The following is an 18,739-nucleotide window of genomic DNA, read 5'->3' on the forward strand; positions in this document are numbered from 1 at the left end:
ATTGTCCTTAGTATCCTCCTAGGAATGGACAGAGCAAATCCAAAATTGTTTTCAGTTTTGCTATTAAGATTCTTCTGTGTGATTCTAAGTTAGTTATTCTTTTCTCTAGTGAATTTTAGATACTAAAAATAATTGGAAGTCAGAAATTAAAAGTAAGTCACTAGAGCAAAAAATAAGATAGGATTGGCAAGGTGAAATGGGACAAAAATCTGAGCTTGTCCTGGTAACGTGTATAGTCTCAGTATACAGGCCTTGCTTACTTGCTTTTAAACCTTCATTTAGCCCTGGAAATGAGAACATGATATAACATAACCTATATAAGTTAAATATAGGTTATTTTAAAAAACATAATTTTATTACTTAAAATGCCTTTTAGATAATAGAGAAGTGCTAAAAAGAACAGAAACTATCACTTTTTTTCTTGTTTTTTTTCCCCCCTTGGTATACATTCTCATAAAATGACCAAAAATGGGCATTAGAAAAAGAAGCTGTAAAATCTATAGGATGGCTAATAAATCCCTCTGTTTAGACAGACATAATTTTTTTTTAATATAGAAGCATTGCTCTCTATTTCATTGTTCTCTATTTCTTCTTATCTTTAGCACTAGAGGGGGATGGTTCGGGGTTCCAGAATGTTTTTTTGAGACATTGTCTTGTTTTCACAATACCATGAAGAAATTAGGAAAAGGATTAGGTTGGACAAAGGGAGAATATTAGACAGTGAGGCTTTAAGAGAATTTATTAGGATCTCACAGAAAAGAGAATTTAGATTTTCTTAAATTCAGTGTTGATACAGATTTATATTTTGTCAGGAAACCTGGGTTGTGCTATTAATCAATATCCTGTATTAAAATTTTTATGGACAGGGTTTATCAGTGTTTTCTTGCTAAAGTTAATTTACAGTAAAGCTTACAGTACGCAGTTTAGGTCACCCATGGCTAACTTATATAATAAAGCTAGTTATTTGAATGACCATAAATTGTCTAATTTTGTCAAAGTTTCTAATTGTTTAGACCACAAAACTATTCATATTTCTACATAAAGTAGATGCATCTTTTTCTGTTGAAGTCGTCTTGGTATTTGACTCTAAAAATAGGCCTACGTGTGGTAAAATTGTAACCCATATTTTTGTCCAAATCATGTGAAGAAAATTGGTTTTGACATGGCTTTTAAATGTAGGCAAGAATATCCTATATATGTACAAAAGGATTAAGAGTCAGTTTCATTAGAGCTTTTTTGTGATAATTTTGAGATTTTGAAGTCAGAAGAAAACTTTGGAAGAACTAAAGATGCAGTTCTAACATAAAATAATTTAAGATGCTTAGACTACAAGGGGAGGGTTGAGGGTAGGGGAGAGAGGGTTGGTGTAGATTGGAGATGCTACAGATGTAGCATGTAATGCTGTGCATAGTGCGGAGGAGATACAAACAGAAAATAAGGGAAGAAAAGACAAAACAGTGAACTTCTAAGAATTAGTAACATGTCTAACCAAGCCCTAATAACACTGTTGGTTCTTGGACCTTGAATTATCTTTGGGGGGAGTTGATAAACCCCCAAACATGCAGCGCAGTTTAGATAGCCTTAGAGAGGACAGGAAGTTAAACCAGAAGAAACAATGAAGACAATATTGAACACATAAAGGGATTTATAAACAGAGACCTACGTAGTTCTATGAAGAGAGACATATAGCAACTGACTTGTTGCTAACGTTCTACAGAACTCCAGCTATAATTATGCATATTTGGTTAATTATAATGTAAGACACCTAGGAAATTATTTGCCTTTCCTTGAAGTCAAGCCAGTGCCAGTAATATACCTATCATCCTGTGACAAAAGACAAAAATTTTACAGAAAGCAGTGATAATGAAAAATACTCATATAATAGATATAATGTACTTTTTTATGATTTACAACTCCCCTGCCCTCATGGGTATTGGTTTTCTAATCTTTTCAATTTGAGTTTTTACTTTAGCATAATAACTAAGTAATGATAATGCATGTTAAGTAGTCTCTATAGTATATTCCTGAGAAGAATTAGTTCCTCATGCCTGAAGAACTTTTAATATATATCGAACTGTCATAAAAGCTTTACTTAATGGAGCTAATGTGTACTTATAAATTAAAATATGTGCCCAGTTCCAGCAGCCCAAATGAGTAAACATTTTATATCAAAAAAATTGAAAATGACAGAGATGTTAGTAACCACTTGGTATTTTATAAGGAAATGAGACAGTTGGGAATTGCTGAGACATTTTGCTTTAATATCGGGTACCTCCACCTTTAAGAAACATCATGGTAATATATTTAGATATTTTCTTAAGAAAATTATTTTCCATGTTTTTAAGATCTTGCTGGCCTCTAGTGGTAATACGATGCTGTTGTTTAAACATTGTCAATTCCTGTGAGTGTAAAGCCATTTGGAAGGCCTAGTCTGCTGATACATTTACTCTCAGAGTTCTGGGTTAACAGTGTTCTCAAAGTGTACATGTAACATCATCTTTCTCCTAAAGACTAGGGAAGGTGTCTGAGTCACTCTGCTTCTGTATTTTAAACGATACTGGTTAAGCTCTGAAGCAACCTCTCATTATTATAGTTTATATACAGTGGTAATTACTATGTAAAGTTTGCACTAACAGTTCTTCCCAGAGTGTTTCAGCCCTCTTCTCTGAAGGTCATAGGGCTATTTTTTCCTTATTCTGTATATAATAGTTTTCATTTTCTTAAGAGGAAGCTTTAAATTTACCATTGAGATTCGTGTTTAGGCTCACCTCTTTATTTGATTTGGAAGAATTTTACATTTGAAATACTGGTTTACTAAGCAAGATAATGATTTGTCACTTTTGTTTTTCCCTTTTCTCATGCAGATGTGAAAGGACCACCCACCCACCGTCTGTCTTGTGGTCAGTCACCCTACACCGAGACAACAACGTGGGAGCGGAAGTATTGCATCCTCACAGACAGCCAGTTGGTATTGCTCAACAAGGAGAAGGAGGTGAGATGGATATTATTCAGGAAAGTTAGTTTCCTTTTCTGAGTAAATTCCTGAAATTACCTAGTTTTTGTTTGCATTTTGAAAAGTTGGATTATAAAAATAAAGGCTTGATGAAGATATAGGTAAGTCTAAAAGGCTGCTAATGTCATAAAGATATGTTATCTTCATGAAGGAGTGGGTTTCACAAGATAGGGCTGGATTTTCACTAAGAAACAATGGAAGAGATACTGAGTTAAACTGAGGAGTTTGGAATGGGAAGGGGTTGGATTATATAGGCCTGGCCCTGCAAATGATCTCGAGGGGCCATTGGGAATTACATCAGTACTTCCTAGCAAAAACAAATGTCATTAATTGGATTAATTGAAAGAGGTTTATTGGAGGGACTATTTGCAGATGTGTGGGCAGCATAAAGGACCTAACTAAGGATGAGGAAGCACCCACGAGCTAGCAGTCGCAGAAAGCAGTTATCACCCTGGGCTTCCAAGGCAAGGGAAGAAAGTGATGTTTCTGGAACCTAGAGAACTGTAGCTGCATGAGAATGCTGCTTGACAGTTGCTGTGGTTATGCACAAAAGAACACAGTCTCTATACCAAACAAAAATGGCCAGCAGGGAGGAAGTAAGACAGAATAAACACTCCAACTCTTTTCTTCTGCCTTCTGATTTCTTGCCAGTGTCACCTACTGGCCAAATCTAACTCGAAGGCAGAAAAAGATTGCTTTTTGATGTATTCTGTAGAGGTCAGCTTCCTGAAACATGTAACAAGGTCAAGAAGGGCAGAGAGTAGAATAGATCTGGCGAGGTAGACAGAATGTAACCAGGACAGGCATCTAGTTCTAGGTGTACTTTCTGTTCTTCTAAATTAAAAAACTCTTAAACTTATCACATGCTATTACTATTTTATTCCTCAAACTGTTACAGTTTACAAATCCTTCCACAGCTATCTCATTTATTTGCTTATTGGTGATTAATCAGGTAATTGATATTCTGATCTGGTATGATAAAACTACTCTGTAAAATCATCATAATTCCCAATTTCCACCATATAAAAAAATAAGTGAATATAATATTGACAAAGAAGAGGAATAATGAAAGGGAAGGAGAAGATATGATTCAATGAAGGAGAAAGATTAATTGCCAAAACTATATAAATAACTAGAAAGATGTAGGTAGAATATCCATTCAGTAAGTCACCTTCCAGAAAGGTGAGTTCAAAAGAAGCAACAGGAAACACATTTCTTAATTCTCCTCTGTGGATCCCTACCTCCCCTTTCTCTTCTCTTGCTCCTCCTTCCTTCCCTGTTCCTTCTCTTACCTATCCCTTCTCTTTCTCAGCATTTTTTAATGTGGTAACAATACTACCAATAAAACAATTCCAGTTTCTTCTTGTATTTTAATAGGCATTGCTACTTTCTTTTTTTTTTTTTTTTTTTTTTTTTTTTGAGACGGAGTCTCGCTCTGTCACCCAGGCCGGACTGTGGACTGCAGTGGCACAATCTCGGCTCACTGCAAGCTCCGCTTCCCGGGTTCACGCCATTCTCCTGCCTCAGCCTCCCGAGTAGCTGGGACTACAGGCGCCCGCCACCGCGCCCGGCTAATTTTTTGTATTTTTAGTAGAGACGGGGTTTCACCTTGTTAGCCAGGATGGTCTCGATCTCCTGACCTCATGATCCACCCGCCTCGGCCTCCCAAAGTGCTGGGATTACAGGCATGAGCCACCGCGCCCGGCCGGCATTGCTACTTCCAAGAGGCTTGTTAATATGCCTCCATGAAGAACTTGCTCATTCTTTTTCTCTTGCCATTGAAAATATCTTTTACTTTTGTTATCATCTCCCTACCTGTAACCCTTTTCCAGCATTTTAATATTCTTAAATTTAATTTTATTAAAATAACTGAATAAAGGCCAGACTTTTCTAGAACAAGTTGTGTATGTTGCTGTGTTTATATTAAGTAGATAATAAAAATTGGTAAAGTGAATATTAGTATAGAACATTTCTAATTATCCAAACTATTCAAAATCTTCATTTTAACCAAATGTACTGTCAGCAGTCTTTTCTCAGAGCTATTAGTAAGGAGTAATATAAACAAATCATTTGCCATCTTTTTGCCCTTACCTACATTTTATTCAATTTAGTACTGTAAGAGATGAAATAGCTTTAAGTATAGATAGCAGAAAGTCAGGAAGCATGCCTTTTCCAGAACCAAGGTGCAAATTAGTCAATTGAGTTACCTGCGCTTGGGCCACCTTTTGTCTCATAATATAACTGTCCATGATAAATAATTTTCTAAAACAACATCTTATGTCCTTTATCCCTTTTTATACCAGTCATCATGAGTAACCCTAAACACCTGGGTAACCCTCATCCACCACGCTGTATGTACTCTCCCTATGGCTCTGTGTATTCTCTTTTCTGACACTGTCTTCCACTTGTCCTTCTCCACCTCTTGAAACCCTTTCACTGTGTCCACTGCAATTCCAGGTTCATCATCAGCAAAACCAGCTGTTTCTTCCACCTTTTCTCTGAAGGGGTCCCTTAACTTCTTAGTCTTACAAGAACTGAGATCTTCCCTGAAGACACTATCTTCCATTAAGTTTTGTCAGTGGATGGCCGTTTTTCCTCATACCATAATGTCTGTGATAGCTGTCTTCCTCTTTCATGGCTGCTGTCTATTCTCCCCTGTTTTCCCTAAAATGTCCAAACTTTGAGTCTCACATTATAGTTATCTTCTTTTTTTTTGAGATGGAGTCTCTCTCTTGTTTCTCAAGCTGGAGTGCAATGGTGCCATCTCGGCTCACTGCAACCTCCGCCTCCTGAGTTCAAGTGATTCTCCTGCCTCAGCCTCCCGAGTAGCTGGGATTACAGGCATCTGTCACCATGCCCAGCTAATTTTTTGTATTTTTAGTAGAGATGTGGTTTCACAATGTTGGCCAGGCTGGTCTCGAACTCCTGACCTCAGGTGATCCACCCGCCTCAGCCTCCCAAAGTGCTGGGATTATAGGCGTGGGCCACCGTGCCCGGCCTGTAGTCATCTTCTAACCTTCCTCGTCGTTTTTTGTTGATTCTATCCCCTGGGCCATTATTATCTCCAAGACTACTCCAGTTTTAATTTTTTACGATTCTGATATCCATAGAGAGATTTTTCTTTTGTAACACACTAGCTGTCAGTTCCTTGAACTTTTTCCTCTCTAAGGATCCCACCTTATTGCTACAACTCCTTCATATTCACAATTGTGTGCATATTACTCTTTGACTAATACCTTCTATCTTTCTAGCTCATTTCTTATTTCAGCAATCCTTCAACCCTTCTGAGACCTAGGACCCATTGATCCTGTCACCTTTTCTGGCTTTTATAAAGCCTCTGATGTCCTCTCTCTCCCCTGAGTTCCATGGTCAGTCATTCTCATCACTCCTTTGCATACTGTTTCCTTGCCCTTCCCTTGCTTCATCATACACACTTGGCAAAGTGATAGCTGAAGTGAATCTTACTCTTTATCTAGTCTGCCCAGTATCTATGCAGCTTAATGTATCTGGAGAAAATTACACATACCATGCTGCCTGGTGTTAAACAAATGGCTGCAAACCTCATATCAGCCCATAATGCTGCTTGGCAATCACAAAACATTTTCCCACTTCAGTTACTGTCCCACTCTCCTGGACTAGTGCTTCACATTCTATCTGTGGTAAAGTACCAGTTTCCTCTCCACCCACCTTGTTGTGATCAATAAAATACAATAAAGTGGATTGTTAAGAAAAAAATGAAAAAAAAAAGTAAAAATATAATCCTACTCCTGGCTATCTACCCAGAGGAAAATAAGTCGTTATATAACAAGGATATACATGTTTACAGCACACATGTTTACAGCAGCACAATTCGCAATTGCAAAAATACGGAACCAGCCCAAATGCCCATCAATCAAGGGGTGGATAAAGAAAATATGGTGTATGTATATACTGTGGAATACTACTCAGCCATAAAAAGGAATGAAATAATAGCATTTGAAGCAAACTGGAAGAAACTGGAGACCATTATTCTATGAAGTAACTCAGGAATGGAGTATGTCCTCACTCATAAGTGGGAGCTGAGCTATGAGGATGCAAAGGAATAAGAATGATAACAATGGACTTTGGGGACTCAGGGGAAAGGGTGGGAGAGAAGTGAGGGATAAAAGACTGCATATTGGGTACCATGCACACTGCTCAGATAATGAGTGAACCAAAATCTCAGAAATCACCACTAAAAAACTTATCCATGTAACCAAACACCACCCATTCCCCCAAAAACCTATTGAAATAATAATTAAAAATTTAAAAAATATATAAGACCAAATTTTTATTGGGTTTAACAGACATTAAATCACAATTCAGTTAAGTATGTTCAGCATAATCATAACATAGGAAAAGAAGGAATAGAAGGATAAAAATTGTATATATTCATGGAAAGTAGGCTGTACAAACCCACTGATCACACCAAGCATGCTGCTTCTCGGTTTCTGTACTATTTTGTTTATTGTGGACTAGTCACAATTTGCAGATAGCACAGGAGCTTGAACTACACTTTGAGTAACACAGTCCAGAATAATTTCTAAGAAGATGTTTTTCATACCTTCTCCTGTTTCCTCAAACTGCCAATCTCTTCTTTATTATTCCCACCTAGAGCTGATTACTTTGCTTATTACTTCACTGAGAAAATTGGAAAATTCACAAGAGAACTTCTGCACACTCCATTACTGTATCTGCCTAACAGCAACTGTTTCCTTCTACCCTTATTTTACTTTTTTAACTGTGATTGAGCTGTCCACTGTGGTCAGCCCTTCTGCTTGTGTTCATTCCATTATTTCTTGCCTGTTCAAGGATATATCACTAGCAATTCTCCCCTACCATTTTTGAAAAACATTTTAGTTTTTTGCTTTCTATCAGATCATTCCCATCAGCATGCTATTCTTTCTCTCTCTTTTTTTTTTTTTTTTTTTTTTTTTTGAGACAGACTTTCACTCTGTCACCCAGGCTGGAGTGCAATGGTGCAATCTCAGCTCACTGCAATCTCCGCCTCCTGGGTTCAAGCGATTCTCCTGCCTTAGCCTCCTGAGTAGCTGGAATTACAGGCATGCGCCACCATGCCCAGCTAATTTTTGTATTTTTAGTAGAGATGGGGTTTCACCATGTTGGCCAGGCTGGACTCGAACTCCTCACCTCAGGTGATCCACCCGCCTCGGCCTCCCAAAGTGCTGGGATTACAGGTGTGAGCCACTGAGCCCAGCTTTTTTTCTCATCTGAAAAAAACAAAGCCTGTATTAACCTCACTTGTACCTCCAGATACCACCCCTTTCTCTTCTCTCCTTTATAACACAAATTCTCAAAACTTCTATGCTCATTGTCTTTAATTCCTGTTCTCCTTTAAATCTATTTCAGCCAGACTCTTACCCACATCACTGCCAGAATTGTGCTTGTTAAGCTCACTAGTGACCTTCCCATTGTTAAATTCAGTGGTCAGTTCTCAGTTCTCATCTTAATCTGTTAATGGCATTTAGTAGAGTTGATCACTCATTTCTTCTCCTAAGGTCACTTTTCCTATTTGGCTTCCATGACACTGTGTTCTTTTTCTTTCCTGCCTCTCTGGAAGTTTCTTTTGAGTCATCTTTACAGATTTCTCTTCTTCTCTTCAAATCTTAACATGGAAGCGCCATGGGACCTTATTTCCTTAGGGATCTCATCTCATTTATAGTCTTGAGACTATAAATGTCCTCTAATGCTGATGATTCCTTATTTTATATCTTAAAACTACATATCACTGTTCTCTCTCTCTTCAAAAGATGGAGTCTCACTATGTTGCCCAAACTGGTCTGTAACTCTTGGGCTCAAGTGATCCTTCCACCTCAGCCTCCCAAAGTGCTGGGATTACAGGCATGAGCCACTGCACCAGGCCATCTCTCTTCTCTAGACTCATATATCCATCTGTGCATTACACATCTCCACTTGGATATGTAAGAGTCATTTTCAACATGCCCCACACTTCAGCCCTAATCTTCACTTCATGACTTACCATAGGTAAGTTATCTCCATTAATGACAACTCCATCCTTCCAAGTTTCAAAGGCCAAAAGCTTCCCCAACGTGCTACTTTCCAGACATACTGTCTTCATCGTTATTTCATGAGTACATCAGGCATGTTCCTCCCTAAGGCCGTGGTCTTGGCTTTTTCTTTGCATGGAACATTCTTCCCTCTTATATTTACATGGCTCATTTTCTTACCTCCTTCATCTCTTTGCTTACATACCACATACTTAGTAAGGCCAACCCTGACCTATTTTAAATCACTACTGCTCCCCACATCTGTATCCAGAACTTCTGACCTAATTACCTGGCTCTAATATATTTTTTATAGCATTTGCCACCTGCTAAAATGCTATATAATTTATTTATTATGTTTACTGTCTCTCATCTCCTACTGGAATATAAGCTTTTGAGCAAAGATTTTGTTTGTTTTGTTCAAGGATGTATCCACCAGTTCTTAGAACAGTTCCTGATGAAACATAGGAAACTCTCAATAAATATTTGTTGAATGAATGTTGCAAAAGCCAAATTAAAAACTTTTATTTCTGAATGTCTATTTCCTTAATATAAGTTGAATAGAAAATATCTTCTATCCTTTCTTTCCATGATATATCTACCCAGAACATGTAACTTAATTCTTTATTTTTCTAAAACTAATAAAAAGAGAAAAATAATTGATGCGGTGCTTTTCCACAGTTGAATACATGATTCCATCTTTATTTATTGAGCACCTATCATTATTTGTAGTATTGTGGACACAAAGATGCAGTTTTGTTGAGAGGTAAAATAAAGTTAAAACCATTTGGAATTAGACAGCAGTGGTAGTTGCACAACGTTGTGAATGTACTAAATGCTGATGAATTATTCACTTTAAAATAGTAAATTTTATGTTATATAAATTTTGCTTCAGTAAGTTTATTTTTATTTATTTTTTTGTTTGTTTTTTGTTTTTGAGATGGAGTCTTGCTATGTCACCCAGGCTGAAGTGCGGTGGTGCGATCTCGGCTCGCTGCAAGCTCCGCCTCCTGGGTTCACGCCATTCTCCTGCCTCAGCCTCCCAAGTAGCTGGGACTACAGGCGCCCACCACCACGCACGGCTAATTTTTTTGTATTTTTAGTAGAGACAGGGTTTCATCGTGTTAGCCAGGATGGTCTCGATCTCCTGACCTCGTGATCCGCCTGCCTCAGCCTCCCAAAGTGCTGGGATTATAGGTGTGAGCCACCACACCCAGCCAAGTTTAGTTTTTAATTGTAATATAACCATAAGAGATTAACTGAGATATGGCCTAGGATGGATTATAGTATGGAGTGGAGAATGCCAAAAAAGTGTTTTACAGAGAAATTTATGCTTGGACTGTATCTTAAGGGACAAATAAGGGCTCATGAGGAGAAAAAGAAGGGAAGGACATTCTGAGTGTATATAATGATACAAAGTCAAGAAACATATGTCTCTTTGGCAAACTGAAAAATATTCAGAGTTCATGGAACATAGTTTGCAAGAGGAAAAGTGATAGCTAGCAAGAACTAGGTAATGAAGAACCTTGAAGGCTATGATGAGGAATTTGGATTTTATTCCGGAAATGATCTGGACCAGGGAAAGGGTATTTAGCAAGGTAATGACATCATCAGATTTGCTTCTTAGAGAAGTAACTCTGTGGATTATATGGAAAATGAAGTGAAAGGGATTAGAAGCAAATAGATGAGTTACAAGATTGCTGCAGTAGACCAGGTGAGGAATAATGAAGGGATAAATTTACAAAACAGTTTACAAAAACAGTTTAATGCCCTCAGACAGGTGTTTATGTTCTGCCATTATTATATGGGGAAAATTGAATTAAATCTCTAGGAAAAGAAAATGTGAAGCCATTGCTTTACATTGCTTTACTTGAATAAGTTTGATTTTCTGTTAATTTCATTACATGAAAAGATTATAAATCAATTTCTTGTGTAGGAACCAGAATATGCTGTCACCCTTCTACCTTTCACCCACACTTAAGAATTATAAAGAATGTGGGCCGGGCACGGCGGCTCACACCTGGAATCCCAGCACTTTTGGAGGCCGAGGCAGGTGGATCACGAGGTCAGGAGTTCGAGACCAGCCTGACCAATATGGTGAAATCCTGTCTCTACGAAAAATACAAAAATTAGCTGGACATGGTGTCGGGTGCCTGTAACCCCAGCTACTCGGGAGGCTGAGGCAGGAGAAATCCTTTGAACTCGGGAGGTGGAGGTTGCAGTAAGTTGAGATCGCACCATTGCACTCCAGCCTGGGTGACTGGGCAAGACTTTGTCTCAAAAAAAAAAAAAAAAAAAAAAGAATTATAAAGAATTTAACTCTTAATCCTTGGAATTTTGCATTGAATAATTTAGAATTTCTTAAAATGAGTTTAAGGAATTTCCTGCTAAAATTATCTAAAAAGATGGTTTTAAACTTTAATTAAATCATCATGGGGGTGTTTATTGCTGTGTTAAAAAATTAATTAAAAGGGTTCTGTAAGGATTTAAACTGAATCCTTAGCCAGGCACTGCTGGAATGTGGGAGGATTATATTAGTCTAGTATCACTCATGTATTAAGTCAGTGTGTGGCATCTTTTAATGCTTTCTCTTAACTCTACATGTTTCTTGTCAGAACTGGGGAAAAGTCTGTTTGAGGAGTATACATGGGAAGAGTGTTAAATATTCCAATGACCAATCTGGGAATGTGGCAGAAGGGTAGATTGGGGCAGAATGCTGAAAGAGAAGCTTGCTGGGAGTGTCACCTTGACAAATGACTTATTGGTTCAGTAAACTGCTTCATGCAAATTGTGCCAAATAGATATTGCTTATGTGCTATGAAATATACTTTCTTGCCTGGGTACCAGGAAAGGCCCCAACTGGCTTGATACCAGCCCAGTTCAAAGAGGGCACAGGAGGCCATTTGACTTTCATTTTGCTTGCAAGAGATGAGACCAAGTAAATTTGAGATTAAGGAGTTGAGGGAAATGGTAGAGAAGACAAACATGAACCCCTCAGAGGTACAGCCATTATAAAAATACAAAAGCTGAATTTATGAGTTTATTTCTTTTGGCAATAACAGTCTATTAGGCAGGGTCCATTTGACTCCATTTTTCTTAATGCAAACTCTACTTTCTATATTTAGAATGTTTAAGGCTGGATTCTGGTGTATAGGCAGCAAGGCATTTAAAATGACACTTTTAAATGTTTTAAAACATTTTTCTTTTGAAAGTGTTTACACTCAGATATGTTGATGAAAATATCAGTCTTTGTGCAAATAGCTAAAAATTAACTGGTATTTATTCTGGGGTGAGCTACCTATGGCATATTTCATTCAGAACCACTTTTAAATTATTCAATAGATATATAATATGCCCTTATATGTTATTCACTGTGTTAGGAGTTACAAAGCACAAGACAGATCTTCTTTCCTCTTTCTCCCCCGTAACAAATTTAGTGGTAAAAATAAGACAATTTTAAAGTGACATTTGATAAATAACACAAGTAAATGGATAGAATAAGAGAGAGAAATCCATTAATTATAAAAAGAACCTTAGCCTAACTAAATATGTCATTAAGATGCCACTGGCAATGGGGAATTACCAAAGGAAAGCTTAATAAAAGAAGCAATTTGATCAAAGTTAGGTGTTATAAATATTAATCTGTAGGACGTATTGGAAGAACAAGACACAGGAAACAGAACAATTAGGAGACTGCCAGTCCTTAGATCTAAAAGCTTGAGTGGCTTCTCAGTGCTCCCCATGCGTGGTCTGGTATTCCAGCCCTCCTAACATGTTCATAATATATTGTTCCATCCCTTTTCTCCCTATTAAGAGGCTCTAGCCAAATTGGCCTACTCCCTATTCCAAAACAAAACAAAAAAGTCATATACTTACCAGCTTCCTGGCTGATGTTATGCTTTTTCCTTTGCCTAAAATGGCCCCCATCTCTACCTATCATTCACTTATTTGTGAACTATTTTAAGGTTTGGGGATTTACTGGTAAAGTACAAGCTGTTAACTTACGTGGAATTAGTTGCATAAATGAATAATTATAATTTAACACAGTAAGTATAATGACAGAGAAAGATGTGTTACCGGAGAACTAAATGGAAGTGTACCTTGACCTTCCCTTAGGGGACTGATAGAGGAGGAAGATTCCTGGGAAATGCAAAGCCTGTCCTAAGCCTCAGGATGATTAGGAGTTTACCTTGCAGATGTAGAATAGAAAAGAAAGAGGGAAAACATTTCAGGAAGAGAGAACAAACTAAGCCATGGCACTGAACTACACAATAGGGAATGTATTAAAGAATTGCAAGCAATTTGGTATTTCTAGAATGAAGTCTAAAACTGAGCACACAGACAGAGACAGTGGCTGGATTGTGGAAAATCTGGTGTACTATATTAGGGAGCTTGCACTAATTTATAGGATAGTAGTTTTTAAACCCTTTTTAAGCAGAAGGACACTTTCTTTGTAGAAAGGCTTATGCAGAAGCCCTGTACAACAGATACACTGAGAATGATGTTCAGGTTGAAGCAGAGATACTTCCCCCCACCCCCACATACTTCCATACACAAACACACCACCACTTCTTTGAAAACCACTGCTAGAGGCAAAGAACTGCTGAAGGGCTTTAAACCTCAGGATGACATGATCGTATTTGCATTTTGGAACTATTATGATAACTATGTAAAGGATAGGTTTAAGGGGCAGAACGTCCCAGGCAGATACCAGTGAAGAAACTGTTGCAGGAGTTTAATTAAGAGATAAATAGAGGCTTTTGGCACCAGCTATGACAGAATGACTGGTGCAAGATGGGCCCTCCCACTGTAAACAACAAAAAATAGGACACCACCCCCTCACTATCTGTCTATCTGTCTGTCCATCTATCGATCAATCGAAAGAGAGCATGGGTGTGCAACACAACTATTTTCAGGCATTGGACAATAGGCAGCCACTGTGTTGGTCACCATTGCCCAGGTGTCTGCTGCATACTATTTTCCAACTGTGGTGCTGTAATCTGGAGGCCAGGCCTGCCAGAGTACAATAGACTCACTGAGCTGAGGAGGCACAGAACAGAATTTTGCATCTGAAAGGGCTGGAACCTGCTGGGTAGGATACCAGAGAGTCTTTAGCTGGACTGCACATGTCCAGGGAAAGACTACGTAAGTTTTCCAGAGAGAAACTGAAGTATATTGAAAACAGAATAGAGATACTAGTGGTCATGTTGAGCAATGACAGAGATCTGACACTGCCAGTGAGAAATCTGTTTAAAACCTGACTACTCCAGGAATCCAGCTGAGATACCAGAAAGATACCTCAAAGTTGTGGAAATTGAGGTTTATTAAAGCCAAATGATTTATTTATATCTTCACACTTAGTACTGGTAGCCAAGGACTAATAAGTGAATAATTAGAATTGGAGGTACAGAGTATAGATCAGTGGTTCTCAACTTTGCATGTCTAGAATGTCTAGAGTGGTCTAAGCGTTGGCATTTTTTTTCTCCCAAAAAAAAAAAAACAAAAAAAAACCAGGGTACATGTGCAGAATGTTCAGGTTTGTTACATAGGTACACGTGTGCCATGGTGGTTTGCTGCACCTATTGACCTGTCCTCTAAGTTCCCTCTCCTCACCCCTCACCCCCCAGCAGGCCCTGGTGTCTGTTGTTCACCTCTCTGTGTCCATGTGTTCTCATTGTTCAGCTCCCGTTTATGAGTGAGAACAGCATTGGTTTTTTTTTTTTAAAGCTCCCATAGATGATTATAAGTTGCAGCCAAGGTTGAGAATGTCTGTTATACCTGACACTTTGAGATGCTTATCCATGATAGGAAGGAGAGGAAACAACACCTTAAGGCAGTGGTTCGCAACCTTAGTGAGCATCAGAATCAGTCGGAGGCTTGTTAAAACACAGATTGCCAAGCTCTACCCTGAGTTTCTGATGCAGTAGGTCTGGGGTGGGGACTGAGAATGTGGTTTTCTAATAAGTTCCTGGGTTATGCTGTTGCTGCTGGTACCTAGACCGCTTGTTTTGAGAACCAGTGCCTTAAGGAAATAAGAAAGTTGAGGAATTGTTTTTTCTTTAAAGTACTGAAAAATCCTCTTAAGCATATAGTAGTCCTGAGCATCTTTTTAGCATTCTTTAGGAAAAGAAATAAGAAGAGCTTTCTGATGCTAGTTAGCGTAATCTTGATTTCCTGTACTTGACTATCTGTTTAATCTGTATGAGTTTAGATTGAAATCAACATTAATTTCCATATGATTCTAAACAATATGAAAGGCAGTTTTACAGAAAATATGTGTGTATGTGTGTGTGTATATATATGTGTGTGTATATGTATGTGTATATATGTGTGTGTATATATATGTGTATATATGTGTGTATATATATGTGTATATATATGTGTGTGTATATATGTGTATATATATGTGTGTGTGTGTGCATATATATATATATAAATATGTGCCACATTGCTTTTTGATTTTCCTGGATGGTTTGAAATTAACAAAGAGGACAGGGAGCCAGAGCTCTAGTTTGGCTTTGTTATTAACACATCTTAGATACCTGAGATATCTCCTTTTCTACTTTCTTCCTATAAAATGGAATGAAATTAAAGTGCTCGGTTTTGTTTGTTTGTTTTTGAGAGACAGGGTCTCACTCTGTCACCCAGGCTGGAGTACAGTGATGTGTTCATAGCTCATGGCAGCCTTAGATTCCTGTGCTTAAGTGATCCTCTTGCCTCAGCCTCCCGAGTAGCTGGGACTGCAGGTGCATGCCACTACAACTGGCTGATTTTTATTTTTTATTTTTTTAAAGATGGGGGATCTCACGTTGTTGCCCAGGGTCTTGAACTTTTGGCCTCAAGAGATTCTCCCACCTTGACCTCCCAAAGTGCTGCGATTACAGGTGGGAGCCCTACTGCACCTGGCCTTGATTTTTTTTTTTTTTTTTTTTTGAGACAGAGTTTTGCTCTTGTTGCCCAGGCCAGAGTGCAGTGGCACAGTCTCGGCTCACTGCATCCTCCACCTCTCGGGTTCAAGCAGTTCTCCTGCCTCAGCCTCCCAAGTAGCTGGAATTACAGGCATGCCCCACCATGTCCAACTGATTTTTTGTATTTAGTAGATATGGGGTTTCACCATGTTGGTCAGGCTGGTCTTGAACTCCTGAACTCAGGTGATCTACTCACCTCAGCCTCCCAAAGTGCTGGGATTTACAGACATGAGCCACCACACCCAGCCAATTTTTTTTTTTAGTTGAGGCAAAAGAAGATGAGAAGAAGCCCAGTACAGGGCCACAAGGGCAGAGAAGAAAAAAAAACAAAGAAAGAAAATTTACTCTCATGTTATAGAACTTGGAAGATACATAATTTTTATGAGGAATTCAGTATAAACAAGTAAATATGAACTAGTAAAATAAATTACGACAATCACACTGGAGAAAATTGCTCATGTATAGCTGATTCTCTTAGCTATATGCTAAGATTTGTATATTTCAGCTTGGGTCATTTGAAATTACTTGAAATAGGATCTATCCAATTTTAAAGGAGTAGATCAATATCTTTTTAAAAAATATTTTAGCTAAGAAGCAATCTGTAGTGTGGCTCATACCTGTAATCCCAGCACTTTGGGAGGCTGAGGCGGGTGGATCACCTGAGGTCAGGAGTTTGAGACCAGCCTGGCCAACATTGTAAAACCCTGTCTCTACTAAAAATAAAAAAAAAAAATCAGCTGGGCGTGGTGGCGGGCACCTGTAATCCCAGCTACTTGGGAGGCTGAGACAGGAGAATCGCTTGAACTTGGGAGGCGGAGGTTGCAGTGAGCCAAAATCACACCACTGCACTCCAGCCTGAGCAACAAGAGCAAGACTCCATCTCAAAAAAAAAAAAAAAAAAAAACTTAAGAAATGCAATTCAGAATAAAGGTTATATTATGTTCTTTGTATCCTGAATGAGAAGTAAAATGCCCTAACCTTTAAAAGTGAAACTTTGAATACAACCTTTTATCATATTTTAAGTTTTAATACTGGGAAATAAAGAGTCTACATTAAAACTTTGAGAAAATAATTGAGTGAATTTTAGGCCCAAATAAAAAATATTGTATTTATTCTCTCCTTTGATATAGCAGAGACAAAATATGTCCTCATAGAAGACATTCTTACTTTATTTGGATATGGCGTTTATAAATTTGCATAGAAAAAATATTTCCTCCTAAAACACCATAAGAAACTACTACTTTTTTTCTGCATGGTTTAGACCTTTATTATTTAAAATAATAGGCATTTTTAGAACTATTATCAAATAGTTATGTTTATTTAGATTGAACTATTTCTTCAAAGAACCAGACTATTTTTTCCAAATTTACTGTCATTCTTCCCACTTTTAAGGCAGATACAGGATATGTTTCGCCTTTTTTAATAGGAGATAGTCATTTAAACCTATCAGTGATACTCTTTTAATTATTTAAGTAGAGATAATAAAATTTCCATCCTGAAAGGGACAGATGACTTAGATTACTGTTTGTGAAGTTTTATATTACAGAGTACTTTTGGAAGACTTCATGTCTTTATTGATGCTATTTTTTGGCCTCAGCTTATTTTTGTAATTTTACATTTCTTCTGCCCTTCAATTTCTCAATGTGCAAAGAGTAACCATAGTTATGGTAATAAGGAAATGGGAGAATTGGGGGTCCTATAAGGAGTATGAAAATTTGAAGTGCCTATGGAGGCATTAGGAATTTGCTCCTCGGATTCTCAGTAACAGAGAGAGAGTTTTCCTTGCCATCATCTCCTTGACCCAAGTCACAGGAGTTGGATTACGGAAGCAAAGCAGAAGGCATGTACACTTAAGCCTATACCTGTCCTACTTTTGCTGGATCAATTGATGCAATACATGTCCATTATAATCATTTGAAGAAATAAATCATTCATTCCCCATCTCTTAAAAGGAGATAATAATAATGTCTCCCTCATAATGTCACACATATGAACTCATTAGACTTGCACATGTAAGAACTCAGTGTTTCATTATTGAAATATATTGAAAACAGTATTGGAGCCATAATAAATTAGGAGTTATGATTAATTATGACATACTCTGCCAAACTATTTAGGATGTTACAATTCTTAATTCTGATAAAAGCTACTAGTAAAATCTCATTACTGAATACTTAGGATTACCAGAAAAAAAAAACCCCAAAACCAAAAAAAACCCACAACTTTGAACCATCCCATTACTCTACATTGATAACCTGCTTTGTAAGTCTTAAAATAGTTATTAGTATTAGAGATTTTTTTTTACTATTCATAGTTCTCATTCCACTTGATATGCAAATAACCGCTTGATATGTTTCTGAAATTATGTCAGAAAAAATGTTTATTAGGATTATAAAAACACTCTTACCTTTGGAAGAAAATATACCATTTTATGTTGGTATCTATACAAGTTTCCACTGAAAATGTGATTTATTAACTATGTCTAAGTGCTCAACTCTAAAATTGAAGAACATTTGGGTGATCTTACTACCTTTAATGAAATATTTTAAGATAATTTTGAGGCGAAGTCTTTCTGATCAACTTTTATTTCCATTTATTTTATTTAACATTGGACAAAATTGGAGCTTGTGAACCAGTTTCTGATATAGAAAAACATTTTATTTGTGTGGGTGTTTTGTTTTCTGAGCTCCAGGAGCAAGTACGCACCTGGTTAT

The 18,739-nt window shown here is 37.6% G+C and overlaps 1 protein-coding gene across 9 annotated transcripts in view, besides 1 other annotated feature; it reads left to right on the forward strand.

The window, feature by feature from the left end:
- RASAL2 (RAS protein activator like 2) overlaps positions 1-18,739 on the forward strand; it is a 384,747-nt gene that overhangs the window by 186,596 nt on the left and 179,412 nt on the right. For all 9 annotated transcript variants that reach the window (NM_001437625.1, NM_001437626.1, NM_001437627.1 and 6 more), the window contains exon 2: positions 2,865-2,992. In NM_001437625.1, coding sequence (NP_001424554.1) covers positions 2,865-2,992 — 128 coding nt within the window. The remainder of the gene's footprint in view (positions 1-2,864; positions 2,993-18,739) is intronic.
- Positions 3,247-4,054: an enhancer, noted in NCBI's record as "NANOG-H3K27ac hESC enhancer chr1:178253081-178253888 (GRCh37/hg19 assembly coordinates)". NCBI's record gives its function as "activates a minimal SCP1, AML or CMV promoter by ChIP-STARR-seq in naive H9 embryonic stem cells {active_cell/tissue: H9 hESC(naive)}" and the evidence as "EXISTENCE:reporter gene assay evidence [ECO:0000049][PMID:30033119]".

The sequence above is a fragment of the Homo sapiens genome, chromosome 1, assembly GCF_000001405.40.
Source record: "Homo sapiens chromosome 1, GRCh38.p14 Primary Assembly".
NCBI classification, from domain to species: Eukaryota; Metazoa; Chordata; class Mammalia; order Primates; family Hominidae; genus Homo; species Homo sapiens.